This window comes from Homo sapiens, chromosome 6 (assembly GCF_000001405.40).
Source record: "Homo sapiens chromosome 6, GRCh38.p14 Primary Assembly".
Taxonomy (NCBI): Eukaryota; Metazoa; Chordata; class Mammalia; order Primates; family Hominidae; genus Homo; species Homo sapiens.
Window position 1 is genome coordinate 128,230,930 of NC_000006.12, and position 18,985 is coordinate 128,249,914.

An 18,985-nucleotide genomic window follows, 5' to 3' on the forward strand; every position below is an offset into this window, starting at 1 on the left:
TGTAATCTGTAAACATTAAATTCAGAGTTTATAAATTATTAAAGAAGGAAAAGAAAGCTTTATATCTGCAAGGCATTGATCTCTTTACGGTAGGAAGCCACATAAAATCAACCAAAATGACTTCAGGAGTATTTAACAATTCTAAAAAGTAAATATGATTAAACTTTCTGATGCTCATCATTACATATCCAAAATGCCAGAAAGCAGAAGAAAAACCTTATAATCCATGATATGAGATCGGTGACTTTATCTCAAGACCTATAAGCAGAATTCTTTATATAAAGCTATGCAGAAAGAAGATAATGCTGTGAATTAGAATATACCAATGGCCCAATGAAAAGCAGGACTGCCGAGTGTTGGCTCTTAGCTACGAAAGAGAACACGGTCTCTTAAGTGGATCAGAATTAACTGTAAACCAGTGTATACATGGCAAAATCACTACTGCTTAGACAAAAGCAGAGAAAATTAGAATTAAATAGCAAGCTACTATTCATCTATCAGCTAAAGTTTAGAGCAGGTGACAAGAAACTAGGAAAGCACAAGGGACATGGTTTGCACTCCTCACACTCCTGTCTTGTGAGCCAGAAGTTACAGAAGCAGCCAAGGTTGAAGGCACCAACAGTTTTCCCATAGATTAATTCTCCTCAGTGACACCTGGGCCACTCAGAGGTTTAAGTTGGCGACAAGCTTCAAATTGTCTTGGTAAACTTTTATTAAAGCTAGAAAGAGTCAAAAGGAATTGAAATGTCTCCTCATTTTTCACTCCTACTGAGGAACACTTACATGAAATTATGAAGGTAGAAAGAGGTAAAAAGTAAAACAATGGTTCTAATAGACAAATGCGCTCCAAAACTAGAAATTGAAAAAACAAACTCATTGACTGTCTTTTAAAAATAAACTCTGAGAAAATGTACAAAGCTGTCTATATTACTTCACTCTCACATCTTCTCAAATTCTATAAAATGGTGCAAACCAGGCCCAAAATCGTTTTGTTTCTTAATTTGTCCTCTCCTTTGCTACTCATGGATCTTCCAATGCCAATGGCGCTGTCCGGAATCAGGCCCTCATTCCCTGATGACTGTACTGAGAACAGAAGCCTCTTCCTCTTCCAGCAGTCTCCACCGTGGTCTAGTACCAACTTTTCCATAAATTCTATTTACCTCCACTCCTCATGGTGAACCTTCCACTTCAGTAAGATCCTTCTCCTTCGGTTCCTATCCCACGTCCCCACACATACACACGACGTGCTTTCTGCCTTCTGAATCTGCAGTAGTAACCATGCCCACTTTTGCTTATTCAAGTACTATGTACACTTCAAGGTTTCAATCAAGTCTTCTCTAATGATTTCACCAAATACTCCAGTCCGCGTTGCTCACGCTTATCTCTGAAACAGTACAGTCCTTAGACTCTATACAGACTTCCCATACACAGTTATAGAATCACATGTCAGGGCAAAAAGTATCTTAAAAAGTAGTTAACCTCAGGCTCAAATGTCTTCTACATCTCTAGCATATGCTTACCCAGATTATGCTTGGATACTTGGACTAATTGTAATTTTACTACCTCCTGGAGCAGCTCATTGTAGTTTTCAACAGCCCTACAATTACAAAGTTCTCCCTTATAATCAGCTTATAGCTCTCACCATAAGCTTCAAATCATGTCATTATTATACTTTAGGATCTATAAGGAGGAAATTAAATCCATTTGTATATTCCTTACATTACAAGGTAGTAAATAAGTCACTTACCTAATCTTCTACAAATCTCAAGATATATTTGTGCCATGTGCCTTTAGCAATTCTGACATCATTGTTCAAGTTTACTCACTGTTTTGGTACTTATATGCTACTGTTTGTTATTTTAATATTTCAGAAGTGTGTCAGCCATTCTTAAAGTCTTTTACCTAGAAAATGTCAGAACTTTGACCACGTCCAGACATTAGAGCAACTTTTATTATATTGCATTGCATTGTTTTTTCTTTATGCATGTTACCTAGCGTGAGCTGATCACATATTATGTATTTAATCAAGTTGACTTTAAAAACCTCCTCTCAAAATAGTTTCCAAAGAATTGCCTACTGTAAACTGCAGTTCCTAAGCATGCAGTAATTTCTTCAGGAAGCTTACCTTCATTATAATAAGTGGAAAATTATCTTTTTTTTCCTAAAATAAATAGTGTCAGGATAGTAAAATCTCTTGCAGAAATTAAATATGCTGCAAACATCTGGGCTTGCCAAATGGCAATATAAATAAGCATAGAAAAATGCTATAGCATGGGGTCATCAGAAAGAGCACTGTGAGCCGTAACTACTAGGCCTCTGAAATGGTGTAGTGCTATGTTTTCATCAGCTAAAATTTTTGTGCTTCCCAATTAACTCAATTGTTTAGAAATCATGCTTTAGATTCCCACTACCATGTGGTGATGTTTGCATGGAGTACAGGAACAAGGCTTTGGAATTTGCCTGGACAGGTAACGCACTATGTGGTCAGAAGTTTTAGACCAACCGCTTTCACTGCCCCTTCACTGAGAACGGTTGGTACAGTAGGGGGTCAGCCTCGCTCTGGTTGTTTTTGAGAGCAATTTGCATCTCATTTTACTGATTTCACTCTCCAATTAGTACTCTCAAGCCATTGCTTAAATTATGTGTTGCTCCATAAGGAATGACATTTCCTTTGGCTGAGCAACTAGCTGTATCACACTATTCTAGCAATGATGAGCCTCACCAAGGGCGAAGCGGTGGCTGACTCTCCTGTTTTGGCAGGCCCACGGAGGAGGCACAGTGCCAGCACCTGCGGCGATTACTGACAGATTGGCCCAATTGCCACAGTTTTGATGACAATCTGCATAGGATTACCAGTCACACATTAAACAGCCTCATTTCAATTCACCAAAACAAATGGTGCCACCAAATCTACCCACACAATTCCCTACTTTCAATAACTCCACTGTTGAATTTCTCTGCCCAATTCAATGATGCAGGCCTGCCAAGCGCTGTAATGATGGATGGAGTCATTAGTATTTTAGTTTCTACACCGAACTTGAAGCCAAAGCATATGGTCTGACAGATGTTGCAGCAATAGGCTCTATTTGATTTACCCTGTAGGTGTCCACTTATACTGGACCTTCATAATAGAATACTAATGCATAACTTTCAGTCCAACCCCAGTTACAACCCTTTCATATCCTCAAGTTATAAGGTGTTCTTAAAGCAGAAACTCAGAACATGTTTATTTCAAGTTAGGCTAATGATTACAAATTACCTTTGAATGTAATCAAATCACTTGAAATGGACAAGATGGATAAAAACGCAAGTAATGCCTGTAGGCTATTACCATCTATGGCTTGATTAGCACTGCCAGTAAGTTCGTTATTTGATAAAATGTGTCACTTACTCATTTTTTCCTCATTTGTGTCTTATTCAGGTAAACATAATTAGTAAATTGGACAGATCTTAATCTTTGACAAATGTCTGTACACTCATAGATCAAGACCCCAGTCAATATATATGACATTAACATTACCCTAGAGAATTTCCCCCTGCCCACATCCAATTAATCCTTATTCCCCACAGGCAACAAGTGTTCTGATTTCTATCACCATAGGTTAGTTTTGTTTCTTATGAAACTTAATGTAAATGAAATTATAAAGGATATGACCTTTTTGTGTCTGTCCTCTTTCCAAAACCTAATGTTGCTGAGATCCATTCACGCTGTTGCATTATCAGCAGTTCATTCTTTTATTGCTAAGCAGTATTCCATTGTTTGAATGAGCCACAAATTGTCTATCTATTATCCTGTTCATGGACATGTAGGTTTTTTCTAATTATCAGTTATTATGAATAAAGCTGTTATAGGCATTCTTGTACAAGTCTTTTTGTGGGCACATGTCTTAATTTCTCTTGGGCAAATACTTAGGAATGGAACTGCTACACCATATGTTCATTTTTTGCTTATATATTCACTTTTTCCTGCAATCACTTTATCCAGTGTTCATAAGAGTTACAATCTAGTGTTCAGTAGCACCATAGGGTGACTATAGTTAACAATTTATTGTATATTTCAAAATAACTTAAAAAGTGGAATTGGAATGTCCTTAACACAAAGAAATAATAAATACTCAAGGTTACGGATACATCAATTACCCTAATTGGATCATTACACATTATATGCTTGTTCCAAAAATATCACATGTACCCCATAAATATGTACAAGTAGTATGTATTGATAATAATTTGATATTAAAAAATAAAAATAATTCAAGAATATTAAAAACATGCAAATATTGAAATATTTGAATATTTTTTAAAAGTTTTGAATTTTAAATATTTTCAATAATACTGAAAATAAATAATTCAAAAAATTCAAAATTTAAAAATAACCAACATTTCTAACCTATAAAAGTGTACAATCTAATTTTTATTTTTCCTGTAAGAAAATTATTTGACACTTCTCAAGAATATAACCAAATGCTTTTTATTATTTCATTTCAGTATAAATTATATGTTATAATTTCACTTTTGATCTTATTTCCCATAAGTAGAGCTTTATCATAGCTTCAAGTTATGAATCACAAATTCCGTATCATTGAACGTTCCTCAGGAATACAGACATCCTTCCTTATCCAAGGTCGCACTTTGGGCAGTTGCAGTTACCTTCTGTCAATCACAGTCTGAAAATCTTAAATGAAAAATTTCAGAAATAAACCATTCATAGGTTTTAAATTGCACTCCACTCTGAGTAGCGTGATGAAATCTTGTGCCATCCCTCACTTGTTAGTCATCGACATTGTGTGTTTCTGACATCCCAACCATCAAAATCGTCATGGCTCAATGATCTAGGATAGCCCCAAGCAGATGAACCTCCTTCTGACATATTGTCAGAAGGACAATAGTAGCCTAATGCTACATCACACTGCCTATGTCATTCACCTCACTTATTCTCATTATGAGTTATTTTATCATTTCACTTCATCCTAAGGAGGGTGAGTAAAGTACAAAGATATGCTACAAGAGCTCACATTCATATAACTTTTATTACAGTATATTGTTATAATTGCTCTATTTTATTATTGTTAATCTCTTACTGTGTCTAATTTATTAATTAAACTTGATCATAGGTATGTATATATAGGAAAAAAACAGTATATGTGGGGTTTGGTACTATGTGTGGTTTCAGGCATCCACTGGGCTTTTTGGAATGTATCCCCCAAGGATAGGAGAACACTACTACAAAATTAAAATGGCTTAGTTCTAAAACTTAGAAGATTTAAAAAATGTCTGTTCATGTGGAAAAAATTTACAAATCATTAACCAAAAAATGCGTTTATATCCAGAATACATGCTACTTCACTGAGCTCTCAATTGAAAAATAATCTGGAAGTTCTCTAAGGGTGACTAAAGACTTTATTCTAAATTTCTTTTTTTTTTTTTTTTTTTTTTTGAGACACATTCTCGCTCTGTCACCCAGGCTGGAGTGCAGTGGCATGATCTCAGCTCACTGCAACCTCCGCCTCCCGGGTTCAAGCAATTCTTCTGCCTCAGCCTGCCGAGTAGCTGGGACTAGATGCGCGCACCACCACGCCCGGCTAATTTTTGTATTTTTAGTAGAGACAGGGTTTCACTATATTGGCCAGGCTGGTCTCCAACTCCTGACCTCATGATCCACCCACCTCGGCGTCCCAAAGTGCTGGGATTACAGGCGTGAGCCACTGCGCCCGACCCTAAATTTCTTTTAGTGCATAAATGTACCGCATAACATATTTTTAAAAACTACTTTCCAGAAAACCTCATGATTTCACCATATTTTTAGTCTACTGACACTCAGGCTTATAAAAACATTCGATGTTGTTTTATGTATCATTAGTTCATTTAGCATGTACAAGAAGGTAGATCTACTTCAAATACTCTACAATTATATAATCCAATTCTTACAAGAAAGAACATTCCCTATAGATACTTTCAGAACTACCATGATATGCATTATGAAATTATCCTAGATTAACTCAGGCAATTCATTGTTTGTGTTTTTCCCTGCATTTTTCAATTTACTCAATTTGTATATTATTTTAGACAACAAAAACGACTGATATATTAATTATAACCTAGAAAGAATACAGAAGTGAGAGAAATTTTTCAGTTTTTCCATAACAAATTATTTAAAATATCAAATATGATCAAGCATTGTGTTCTGTACACCTTTCACAGAGTTATAGTATATCATTTTTCCTTTGAAATAGAAAATTGGCTGTTTTTCTAGTCTTTGTTACTTTAGCCCATATTTAGACAACATTTTGCCAATTGAAGCTCAATACTACATAATGTAAGTTATTTGGAGGACATATAAAGTTGATTGCCATTTGGTATTTTACCTGACCATGGCAGGTATAACAACTGTTGTATTATTCCATTACCTCTGTGGATAGACTGCAGTGACCTTTCATTGAGTGCTTCAAGTACATTCATTCTCAGTACTAGCAGCAGATATTTTGAGCATTTGTTCTCACAATGATACTTAAAGGTACCATTTTTCCCCATGCAAAACGAATTACAAGACTTTTTCATCTTCCACACAAAAAGGTTATCAAGGCCATGTTTCAAGCCACCAAAAATAACGTAAAGACCTAGTTTAGCATCTTACAGCTGGAAGGGATTTTAGTGTCTATTCAGAATCTCCTTTTATAAATAAGCAAATTGAGGCCCAGAACACATAAATGAAATCTCTAAGGCCACTGCAATTAACTGGGTTAAAAGGTTTAGGAGGGTTAGAGTAAAAGTTAGAATTCAGAACTGAGCTTCTTGAACTCTAGGCTGTTATTCTACGTGAAATGAAAATAATCTGACATCTGTTTGCATGAGTTAGCTGGTAGATTCACTTTGGAACCAGAATTCTTCCTGCTTTATTATGTTTTTTTTTACTTTTGGCAAAAGTTGAGCAAGTTTTTTAAGTCACTGCCACCTTCTAATTGATTGATATATAGATAATGATCAATCTTATCTGGTTCATTTTTAAATAATTTCATAATAAAAGTTTTTATTTTAATTTGAAAACACCCTTAGTAATTAATAGATTTCAATATTTCTTGTAGATGGGGAAGACTGATGTAAGTGAATAAGTTAAGGTAATTGATGTGGTGTTATTGAAAAAGGTAAAATAGCTTTTGAATAAATTAAGGTGAATATGCACACTACTGAAGAATGAGGCAATGTCCATGTCAAAGTGGAAGAGAAATACATAAATTCACCATTCTGTAGCAAACGCCAAAAAAAAAAAAAAAAAGAAAAGAAAAAAAAAAGAGGTGAGGTAGGGGAGAAAGCAACATAGAAGTTTCATAGAATATTTTACCTCTCATCTTTGCTACAAAAATGGCAGGAGGAACATTTTTTAAAACCATCATGAAATGGACTATCTACAAAATAGAAAGCAAACAAAAAAAAAAAATGAGCAGTATTGGGACTACCACCCACTCAGACCAGCAGGGTCCAGAAAGTCTTTGTTGCCACAAGGCAGCTGGTGACTGAGGATACAAAACCCTTTTTATTTCAATGTCACATTAAATCCTGAGGCATAAAACCAAGGGCAGACCTACAGAGCCTCTAGATCTCCAAGAAAAGACTATATAGCTCACAACTAAAGCCAAATGCCAGCTAATGTTCCCATCTAAATGAAAAAATCACTAGCAAAACGATTAGAACATATATCTAAAATCATTTTTAAACTATTATTTAGGCATAGGAAGAGAAATAAGAAAACTGACTTGACATTTATTTGATAAAACAGGTTGCACATTATACAACATGCTTTCCAGGAAAAATTATCCTATTTTTCAATCTCTGTAGGAGAAATTACCATAATCACAGAAAAAAGGGACCCTCATCTCCTTTTCATATTTGGACACAAAATATGGTATCCTGACACTTGAAAATCAAATAAGCTATAAAAGTAGTAATAATTAGATTAATATGAAGTACACCTGTTGTAACCTCCAATTGGAATGCTGGAAGAACTTGATGAAATAACACAAATATAACACCCAGCATATCAGTCATTATACAAGGTATTATTTCAATATTCATTTATTATAACCTTTATTACAACCACCTGCAAACTAATAGTTATCCCCAACACTACTTTCACCTATCTAAAGGATGTAGTAAAAAAAAAATCATGATGCCTATGTTGAAGAAATTAAACTCATCTTGTTTTTTTTTTTTTTTTTTTGGTCTCTATTGGCATTCTCATGAATTTAAAATTCACAACTTATTAAATCTCTTTCCTCATTCTGATGCAGAGAACCTAAAAAATAATAATAGAGGTGCTCAGAGAATATTATTACTTACACATCATCTAGCTTCAAATACTTCGCTCAATAGCCATCTGTTTTAGGTCCAGCTTCCTGGCTTTAGAGCTGCTCTCAGCTCCTCCCAGCCCCTAGCACCCTAGCACTGACAGATAGACTTTCTATAAATTCTCTGAAGGCAAGGCATATTTCTTAGTCTATAGTTTTATCTCAGATTCTTTTAAATCTGTTTATATGCACCATTTACAGTTCCCCAACATGTATGTTAAATCATAATTAAATACAAATGTATTAAGGAAGTAATATGTGAAAGGCAAATGTCTTCACCTCAGATCTGTGATTAACCCTCAAACTCAAAAATTTAATTGGCTCTCTTCCAATTCATACTTCCTGAAATATTCCCAAGGGTTTCTTAAAATACTTTAAAGAATTTATCAGAGTATGACAGCTCCTACTTAACTCTTGTAAATTCAGTTTTAAAAATATTATTAAATAAGAAAAAATATCATTCTTATTCATATTTCAAATGGATCTACAGAATTTTTTGCAGTTTGAATATAACAGAGAGAATTGTGTTTCACCAGATCCTAACAAAAATACTTATTAATTATTTGCTCATGTGTTTTATTTCAGAAAAGGAAATCTCTAACATGAATCTGTAATTAAACTCACGCAGACAGCCTGTCCCACTACATGCGTGTGCACACGCACACACACACACACTCAAAAGGATGAGACAACAAACAGTCCTGTTGCAATGTTTTTAAAACATAAAGTATACTCTTTAGCTCAGCTGCCAACTTGGCCTTACCTGGAGCCATAACTTGTTATGCACAGCATCTCTCCCTGTGGCAATGCACTGAAATGTAGCGTTTTGCCCTGCATTCACCTCTACATCCCCTAGACGGAGGAAATGAGGAGATTTATCTGTGAAGGAAGGGAAAAAAAAATGTATTTGTTTTCACATGAAGAAAATATGCCATGTTACTTTTCTCCAGCTGAATATTATCATTAGTGTTTTTACCTTTGGCCAAGACTAACATCAGAAAGAAGAAAACTGAGGGGCTTTTTTTGTGCCGGAAGACACCATTTCCTCTGTGACTCTCATAGTTCTCTTTTTCTCAATAGCTCTATTACTTACTGTTCCATAATTGCTGGAGTATTGTTCTCTACAGAGTGAGCACTCAACAATTGCTGCTGAACTGCTGCCATAGCATGTTGTATATGGATGATAATAAAACAGTTACAAACTTACAAGTCAAAGCAACCAAAAGAGATTAAATTGACATGAAATCAGAACCTAATATAAAGATATAATGAAAACATATAATGATTTCTAAACTACTGGCAGTGACACGGCCATTGAACTTATTAGGCTACATTTTAAGCAGTTAGATCTTTTTTTAAAAAAAACATCAATAGTTATAACCCTCTACAGCACTTCAAAGAACAAGGGAATATTTTTGCTTCTCAGAAAAAGAACACCAGCTAAACTGGTAAACTTTTTTTCTATTCCATTATAACCATAGTATAGTAATCCAAAATAAATACCCATATTAGACTAACAAAAATAATGACTGCAGTCAAAATATAAGTAAGATTTATGACTGACAAGTATCCTCTGAAACTACCTTTTAAAACTGAAGCCTCATCCATGTTTCCCATTGAAAGGAAATTTATATAAACAGCAAAAGCTAAGGCTCATGAGTAAAAAGAAAAGTTCATGGAGGGCCGTATCACCCTAAAACTGCTGTTGTGCTCAATCCACCATTTTCTGTGCACTTATGAAAGCCTTTCCTTAACACCTATCATTCAAGAAGTGAAAAATAAACAGTAGATAAAAACACAGCTCTCTTAAACTACAGATTGAAAGAACTTAGTAAGGCAGCTTGAACTTTAAATGAGATGATTTTGTTCTCTCTTTTCTTAGAATTTACCAACCACCACGTGGTATATATAATCTGACCCTTACTGGCTACATCTTTCTCTAGTGACTTACCTCTCAGGAAGAGATTTAAAATAAGGAATTCTTGAGTTAGAACATGAACTAAAGCAGCAGTTCTCAATTTACGAACTCTAGACCAGCAACATCAGCTGCACTGGAATCAGAAATGCAAATTGTCAGGCCCCACCCCAGACCTATTCAATCAGAACCAGGGGAAGAGCCAAGCAATCTGTGATTTACCACAGCTGTAGGTGATTCCGAAGCACACTAGAGTTTGACAACCACTCAGCAGGAGCACAGGTCTTGGCCCTCACAAGAGGCCCCAGCCTGCTGCTTACAATGTGTTATAGATGCTTCTCAGGGAGGATTGCTGAACAGATAACCCAGAATTCACGGGCCCTATAAAATGCTGCTTTTGGGAAATATAGGCAAAGTCTGAATTTATGCCAGCTGTTTTTTGCCTGGCTCTACTGAATGCATGCAGTAATTGTTTTTCATGGACTGTGATGTAAACACAAATTTAGGTACACCATCTGAAAACCAATCAATGTGCCTCTAAGGGCATAACAAAACTGTGTATTAATAAACCGAGTTTCTTGTTTTGTTTGCTTTCTTTTTTTTTTTTTTTTTGAGACGGAGTCTTGCTGTGGTTGCCCAGGCTGGAGTGCAGTGGTGCAATCTCAGCTCAGTGCAACCTCCACCTCCCAGGTTCAAGTGATTGTCCTGCCTCAGCCTCCTGAGTAGCTGGGATTACAGGTGTGCACCACCACGCCTGGCTAATTTTTTTTTTTTTTTTTTTGTAAGTAGAGATAGGGTTTCACCATTTTGGCCAGACTGGTCTCAAACTCCTGACCTCATGAGTTAGCCAGACATTTATTATGACAGAGGAGAAAAAAAGTAGTCCTAAATTTGGAATAAGGTGAACTAATTATTTCTCTTCATTTCACCCCAGCCCTCAACTCAGATCAAATAACTTCATGAGGCTTCTTTATATTTTCCTTTCTGTTGAACTCTGATTTGCTATTCTTCTCTGTTTTTCTAGACAATTTAATGATGCCAAAAAAATGAACAAGTCCTACTAACAGCTGCCTTTGCATGTATATTTTGTTCTCAGTAATGAAATAATTTAAAAGAATCTCCTAATAGGTATACAATTAGTTACAAGTTTGAAAAATATTTGATTCAAAAACTCTAGAAAGATATCAGTTTCCTTTTAAAACTCAATAGAAGGCTAGGACTAACAATAACAAGAGAGACAGCAAAAACCAAGTGATAAACAATCAATAGTCACTGCCAATATAAGGCAAGTGTGGAAAGGACATAGAAAAATACAATTCTTAATCACAACCTACCACAAGGATAACTCAGTACTTGGATGTCATCAATGGCAATATAACCACTTCTCCCTCCTGAGACTTCAGCTTCAAATATTACCTGTCAAAAAGAAACAGAAAATATTTACAACAATAGTTTTCAAGGAATTTCTACAGTGGAGGGGAATAGCTAAATATATGCAAAAGTAAATCTAATTTTTGTTCAGTAAGAATTAAAAATTTAACCTTATAATGTAAGTAATTTCCTAACTCTTGTACAGGTAAACAAATCAAAATATAAAATTTGAAGAAAAATTACGTTACAGAGGTTAAGCAGCTTAAATTTTTTAAGCAGTTATTACCAAGTATTGTTATATATCCTGAATAGGCAATATATAGGCAGACATAGAAAATCTCTTTAAAGGTAAACTTTCGCATATTGATTTTTTCCATTTTTGTTGTTTACTTAACATACATGGAGCACCTACTATGTGCCAAGCAGTATGTGAACCACTGAACACATTAGTAAGATAATCTGAGTTTTAAACAGCTGAATTTTCAAGGATGAGTGTCAACCAACAGATTATTGATGTTCCAGGCCAAAGGAACAAATACAATGAAAAAGATTGGGATGGCATGTTTGGAAAACTAAATAAATATAATCTCTATGGCTACAAAGGCTCAAAAGGGAAGAGATGAGATTAGAGACATAGGCATGGAAGGCCTTAAATACCATGAGGGTGAGGTCAGGAGTACAGCACTCAATAGTTTTATATCCAAGAATGTTAAGAAAAAAAAAGTTTCTAGATTTAAATATAAGCTCATTTTACAGTTTTGTAGTTATAGTCAATAGCAAAGCTTGATATGGCCTTTCTTTTAATGTGTGCTGTGGCTGGGTGCGGTAACTCACACCTATAATCCTAACACTTTGGGAGGCTGAGGCAGGAGGAGTACTTGAGCCCAGAAGTTCAAGACCAGCCTAGGGAACACAGTGAGAGCCTGTCGCTAAAAAAAAAAAAAAAAAAAAAAAAAGAAAAGAAAAGAAAAGAAAAAGATTAGCTGGGTGTGGTGACACATGCCTATAGTATCAGCTACTTCACAGACTAAGAGACTAAGGTGGGAGAATTGCTTGAACCCAGGAGTTCAAGGCTGCAGTGAGGTAGGATGACACCACCGCACTCCAGCCTGAGCGACAGAGCAAGACCCTGACTCTAAAAAAAAATAACAATAATAATGTGTGCTGTGACTTTCAAGAGAAAACAGATTTAGCATTCAGCTCTTCAATGTTGTATTTGATTCCTTTATTCATGGGGATACATACATTATTTTGGAGTATTTGCAAAGCATTTTTTAAAATGTAATGAAAGTTGATGTTTAAAGTAAGAATAGAATATAATCAAATTGGTCTAATAGAAACATATTTGGCTATAAAGTGAAAGATGATATGGAGAGAAAAAATAAGTCAATATGCTAGAAGTAGTGGGAATGGTGAGATGAGAAGAAAAAGGAAAGATAAAAATAATACTAAGGAAGCAGAGAAGGTAGAACTTACTGACTCAGTTGTGAAATATAGGACAACTCAATGATTTCTGGCTTAGACTACTAGGTGAATGATGCTGTCAGGATTCCTTCTCAGGACTAGTGATACAGAAAAGGAAACAAATTGAGGGAGAAAATAATGAAGTATGTTTTGAACATTTCAAATTTGATTTGCCTATGATAACACACAGTGGAAAATGCTTAAGTAATAACTAGATAGATAGATTTGGAAGAGAAGATTATCAGGGTAAAATAAAGGTATAAATTTCGAAGTTATCTGACGAAGGATATCAGATAACTCCATGGAAGGGAATAAGCGACTAATTTGAAAGTTAAAGTGATTGGTGAGTAAGATGGCATAAGAAGATAAATAAGAGAAGAAAACTACTGGAAATGAAAGTCAAGACTGAAAAGGCCACCAGCGGATATAAAGCCAACATCGAATGGTTAAGAAAGAAAGGGTGGTGGTACCAGGAGGTTTCAAGCAGGTCAACACTCCTAATAAAAGGATTAGGAAAGGCCAGGCATATTACAATAACAATAATTTAAAGATTTCAGATACGTGTGTAAACAGTGGCATCTAGATGCACACACATTTTAGAAGGTGAGAGCGTCTCTGATGTTATCTAATAATCTCCAGCCATTTTATTCTTTCCCATGGGAGTATCTGCCAATTCTGAGATCAGGCTATGGTTCTAGCTTAGTACAGACTGAAAACCTCTAGTAGGAGGAGGTGAAAACCTCTAGCAGGAGGAGGTGAAAACTGTGAAAGCTTGGTGCAGTTCTGCAGAAATAGAACAACAACTTGAAAATTTGGGAGGCTGAGTTTTCCAAAAAGACCTAGGTAAAGGCAAATAATATCTAACATAAGAAAGAGGTCAAGAGAAACTGAAACTAATAAGCATCACTTGGGGTTAGCTCTTAGGTATTTGGTAAACTCTGCCAGGACATTTTTACTCTGGTGGAGGAGGAGAAGTTTGATTGACTGGGCTGATAATAAGTTACATTTGTCAAGCACTTACTATATAAAGTAGACTGTCCCAAGCTACAGTCACACACATACACACACATAAATTGATTTAATCCTCATTACAATCACACGAGGTAGGTATTATTTTCATGTTCATTTTAAAGAAAAGTAATTGAACCAAGGCACAAAAGCTAACAAGTGGTGAAGCCGGGAATGGCCTGAGTCATCCTGCCTCTAGGTTGCTTTTGAAAACTTTACTACATTGCTTCTCAAGAAAAAGAAGACACAGAGTATTTCATTTAAGTAGACTTTAGAGTTTAAATTTCCTTTAAAAGTCTAAAATGTTAAGTAAATTTTAAATTTAAAAAATGAATTTCATTTTAACTAGCACACTGACTAGACATTATATTGACAAGATGGCAGCATGGTTCCATTAAACCCTTTCCATTCTCACACTACAACCACCTCAAAGTCAATAACAATGAGATAAGGTAAGCCGCTGGAATGGATGGCTCATCTCCCTTCCATCTGTCCCAATCATAAACTACCTGCATTACTTCTTTTCTACTCCAAGTTTACCCTTTGTGACAATTGATTTTACTGGAATAAGCTGAAAGTGAGATGGAGGATGGGGTCTTTGTGGTAAGCAGAATGCTTCATGATGGAAGGGTGGCCATCTATGAACACAGGAGGGTGTGCAATATGTGTGTGCATATGATTTACATTTCACATAAATGTATTTGGTGGGAACATAATTCCCATGTCATTTTGTAAATACTGGAACAAGGGCTTAGCAAGAAATAGAAAATAGTATTAAAAACTTTAAATAATGTATAACTTGAGACAACTCTGGTACAGACCACTTTCTCAGGGGTGAAAAAAACCCTGTATTATACTCCAAGCCCTCTTGTTTACAAATTCTTGAGGATTCACATAAATTTGAGATTTGAAACTTTTAGAGCTAAGTCTTAACCCCATAATATGAATATAATACAGCTTTCAAAAAAAGTTTTCTAAGGATTAAATAGCAGCATATAGAAAGGTGCTATCTAAACTAAAAGGTGTGATTGTCAACAGTGTAATACCTGAAGTCTGTATAAATGTATCCTAGGAAAATAAGTTTTATTTGCTTGTTTGTGGTTTAAGGAAAGAGAAGTTACAGAAAAAAAGTTTTTAAAAATCATTTTTTTGAAAACAATGACATTCTAATGAATAAATACACATCATTGTTGGTTATTTCAGTTTTGTTGTCAGTATTCATTAAATTATTTTAATTTCTAGGTCTATCTTAGCTTCACTTTCTTGAGTTGTTTAACTTCTTGTACTTTAAACAAGATTACTACACCCCTGAGAAAAAGTTTCATATGTGTTCATTTAAATTGAGCTTTACTCAGGACAATAAATTGAGGCCTTGATTTAAAAGGAGGCAAAATAATTGGTTCTTTATTTAAAAAAAAAAAAAGTTCCTCTTTTTAGTGACCTCATTTTCCCTGCTAAATGTTGTCTTTGCCTCATTAACGAGAGCTAGAAGAAATTTCTAAGATCAGATTCCTTTACTGCTAAAGATCTAATCAGCTTTATCACTTCAACAGAGCCCTCACCTTGTAGGGCTCTTCTGTCCTGTCAGGGAAAACAAATCTCAATAGCTTAATTACGCAAAGCGTGCTTGGGCTAATGCTCAGGTCAGATCTAATGCTTGATGTCAAGCAGTCAACCAGGCTTCCCAGAAGAAGAGAGCAATGAAAGCCATACCAGATGTCAACTTTAAACCTTCCAGGAGGCCAGCCTGGGAGCAGAATGAACAGGCTCTGCTTTCTAAGCCATTTTTACTCCACTCCATTACCTGAAACACTGAAGGTGATGATTCTAATCAAATTTTTGCTACTCCAGCAACAGTCCTGGATTATTAACTAAATAAGTGAAATAAAGTTGAATTAAACTTGGGGGAGATGGGAAACCCTAGAGAACAAGGACAACTTTTTCCTCTAGCAAACTGAATGAATCCACAGGAAGTGTCTCCTATAATGGAAAGCTGAACTGGGTGTTTGGAAGCCTGGGATCTACTATCACGTGTAACCCAAGCAAGTTATTAATATTTAACTCGGGTCTCTGTAGTCTCATCTTGACAATACTGCCTTTCCGTACATCACGGGTTTCTTGTGAAGACTGAATGGTATATGTGAAATGATTAATTAATATATGCAATATGTAATACAAGATATTACAGATACTAGAAAAATCTGAAAAAAATTTCCCCTTAATATTCTTTCAATATATCATAGTGTTAAGAGCCCAGGCTCCAAAGTCAGATATATATTTAACTCATATTCTTTTTCTTTTTTTTAATGAGACAGATTCTTGGTCTGTCACACAGGCTGGAGTGCAGTGGCATGATCTGGGCTCACCCTAACCTCTGCCTCCCAGGTTCAAACAATTCTCGTGCTTCAGCCTCCCCAGTAGTTGGAATTATAGGCACATGCCACCACGCCTGGCTAATTTTTGTATTTTTGTAGAGACGGGGTTTTAACATGTTGGCTAGGCTGGTCTCGAACTCCTAGCCTCAAGTGATCTGCCTGCCTCAGCCTCCCAAACTGCTGGGATTACAGGCATGAGCCACCACACCTGGCCTAGTTCGTACCCTTTAACTGTAACTTTAACTTATGTAAAATGAAAACTTCAATTTCTTCTTCTATAAAGGAAAGTTTATAGGGAAGATTAAATGAGATAATGCACATAAAACATTTAGCACATCTCCTGCCACACAGTAAGCATGCTATGTTAAGTGGCACCACTTTTATGAGCAGAAAATAGCCATAAAAGACACATGTACTAAAATTATATTTCTTCCATTCCCTTCTCCCTCCACTAAAAACCTAACCCCCCAATCCCAGTTTGGAAAAACATGAATAAACTAGTATTTTATTCCTATAAACCTCCTTAAATTCATGTTTTTTATTTTAATATTTAAACATTAAATTTTGCTAACGTTCAGAATAAATCACACATCTGCCTTCAAAGAACAAATGTGCCCAAATCAAAACCTATTTCTAAATATTTATGCCCAAATTTCAGTAACGAATAAAATAGGCATCTGTAACACACACAAAGATAGAATGACACTGCAGATCCAACCCTATGAGTACCAGTAAAGCACATGTATCTTTATCTGTTATGACAAGGTGTGACCTCCAATTTAGGAACTGTAGTTAACTTTGTGTCCTTAAAGCTCAAATACTGTCTATCACAAAGTAGACATTCAACAAATGATAACAAGACTATATACATCTGTGTGTATATACACATTACATATATGTGCATATATATAAAACATCATCACATAAAATTGAATTCTACCATGTGAACCTTAAACATTGTAGTTCCACAAGATGTGTCCTCAATCTTTCACTCTCTTTGCCCTATACTTTCAACTCTGATAAGATTGAGGAAGATGAGGCTACAATGAGGACAGAGGGAAATGAAAAAAATATATTTAAGTATATAGAACTACAAAAGGAAAATGGAAGTACATGGCATCACAAAAGCTTATTAATAAAAGAGTATCTAAAGGAGAAGAGATGTCAGGAACCCAATACTGGCCAAATACTACATAAAATGGTTATTGGAAATGCCCCTTATTTGTGCCATTGAGATCAGAAGTGCCCAAAGAAAGAGCGGTCTGTATGAAGAATGGAAGTGGAAACTATATTGGACAATGAAGAACACAGTGAAAGCACAGAGACACCAAGGTTAAGAATGCTTTATAGGAAGTTTGTCTGAATGGATAAAGAAAAATTTGACTAAGGATAGAAAAAGATATGGGATCAAGGAAAGGTTCAACTTTCAAAAAATTTTTCTTATTACTTTTAAGGTAAGAAACACTTAAACTTGTTTAGATATTGAGGATAATTCAATTTGGTAGCGAGTATTTGTGTATACACATGAAAGAAGTGATAACTGTTAGTGTGAAACAGGATAAAATCCAAATCACAGGCTGTAAGACAGGCTCTCTCTGCCTTTTTTTATAGTAAGAGGAAATGAGAAGATGCATAAAAATGTAATTTCTAGGACTGGTAGCCAAAGAAGTTTCCATTATATGACTACAATTTTCTCAGCTATAAGTAATAGGCTAGTGAAAAGAAGGAGTGGTTGAAGTCTGGAGAAAATTGAAAGGAGTTGAAATACAGAGTAGAAGAACAAAGATAACTGAACAGAAAAATATAGTAGTAGAATTTCCAGTTATATTTGGACCCAATTGAAATTGATAACCCTGAATTTCTAGTGATCAAAATCTATCATGTGGTGTGATTTAAAAAAAAAAAAAAACAGTATTTTTTTTTTAATTTAAGCCCAGAAAAAGTGGATAGAATAAAAGTCAGTAAAGAGTTTATGGAAACAGCAATTGTATAACAAAAGTTATCACAATGAAATCAAATTTTGATTTCATTTGATGATAAGCAAGTTGATGAACTAGCTAAAGACAGATGGTTTGATGGATTGGAGCTCTCCATGAAGTTACTGGATGATCTAAGCAAAATGAGTATAGTAGAAGAAGATAGGTTTATACTTGGGAAGTATGATACATATGCATAAAGTTAGAACAGTTGTGAGATATTACAACATCCATGTAACCAGAGTAGTAAACAGAGGTGTGACCTTTGGAAGTGGTGAGGTGAAAAAACTATCCAGGCGCTTTCCACACATATACTGATGTCGTCAGGAAGACGATGAGCCTTGAAAGTGGAGAGAGCAACTCTAAATTATGCTGGTACCCAAGTTCATCATGAGTAGAACAAAATGATTTCAGGTCCAGTGGAAGGTAATAATAAGGATGATGACGTGGTTGAAAGAAAAAAAAACTCGAAGGTGCAAAGACATTTCCCACATGATATGGTTTGGCTGCGCCCCCACCCAAATCTCATCTTGC

At 35.3% G+C, this 18,985-nt stretch overlaps 1 protein-coding gene across 6 annotated transcripts in view, besides 1 other annotated feature; it reads right to left on the reverse strand.

Annotated features, from left to right (window-relative positions):
- The window catches only part of PTPRK (protein tyrosine phosphatase receptor type K), a 551,815-nt gene that overhangs the window by 262,145 nt on the left and 270,685 nt on the right, over positions 1-18,985 (reverse strand). For all 6 annotated transcript variants that reach the window (NM_001291984.2, NM_002844.4, NM_001135648.3 and 3 more), the window contains 2 exons: positions 11,592-11,673; positions 9,106-9,221 (listed from right to left, as the gene is read on the reverse strand). In NM_001291984.2, coding sequence (NP_001278913.1) covers positions 9,106-9,221; positions 11,592-11,673 — 198 coding nt within the window. The remainder of the gene's footprint in view (positions 1-9,105; positions 9,222-11,591; positions 11,674-18,985) is intronic.
- Positions 9,235-9,529: a silencer, noted in NCBI's record as "tiled region #6879; HepG2 Repressive non-DNase unmatched - State 15:Elon". NCBI's record gives its function as "represses a minimal TATA promoter and a strong SV40 promoter by Sharpr-MPRA in HepG2 cells {active_cell/tissue: HepG2}" and the evidence as "EXISTENCE:reporter gene assay evidence [ECO:0000049][PMID:27701403]".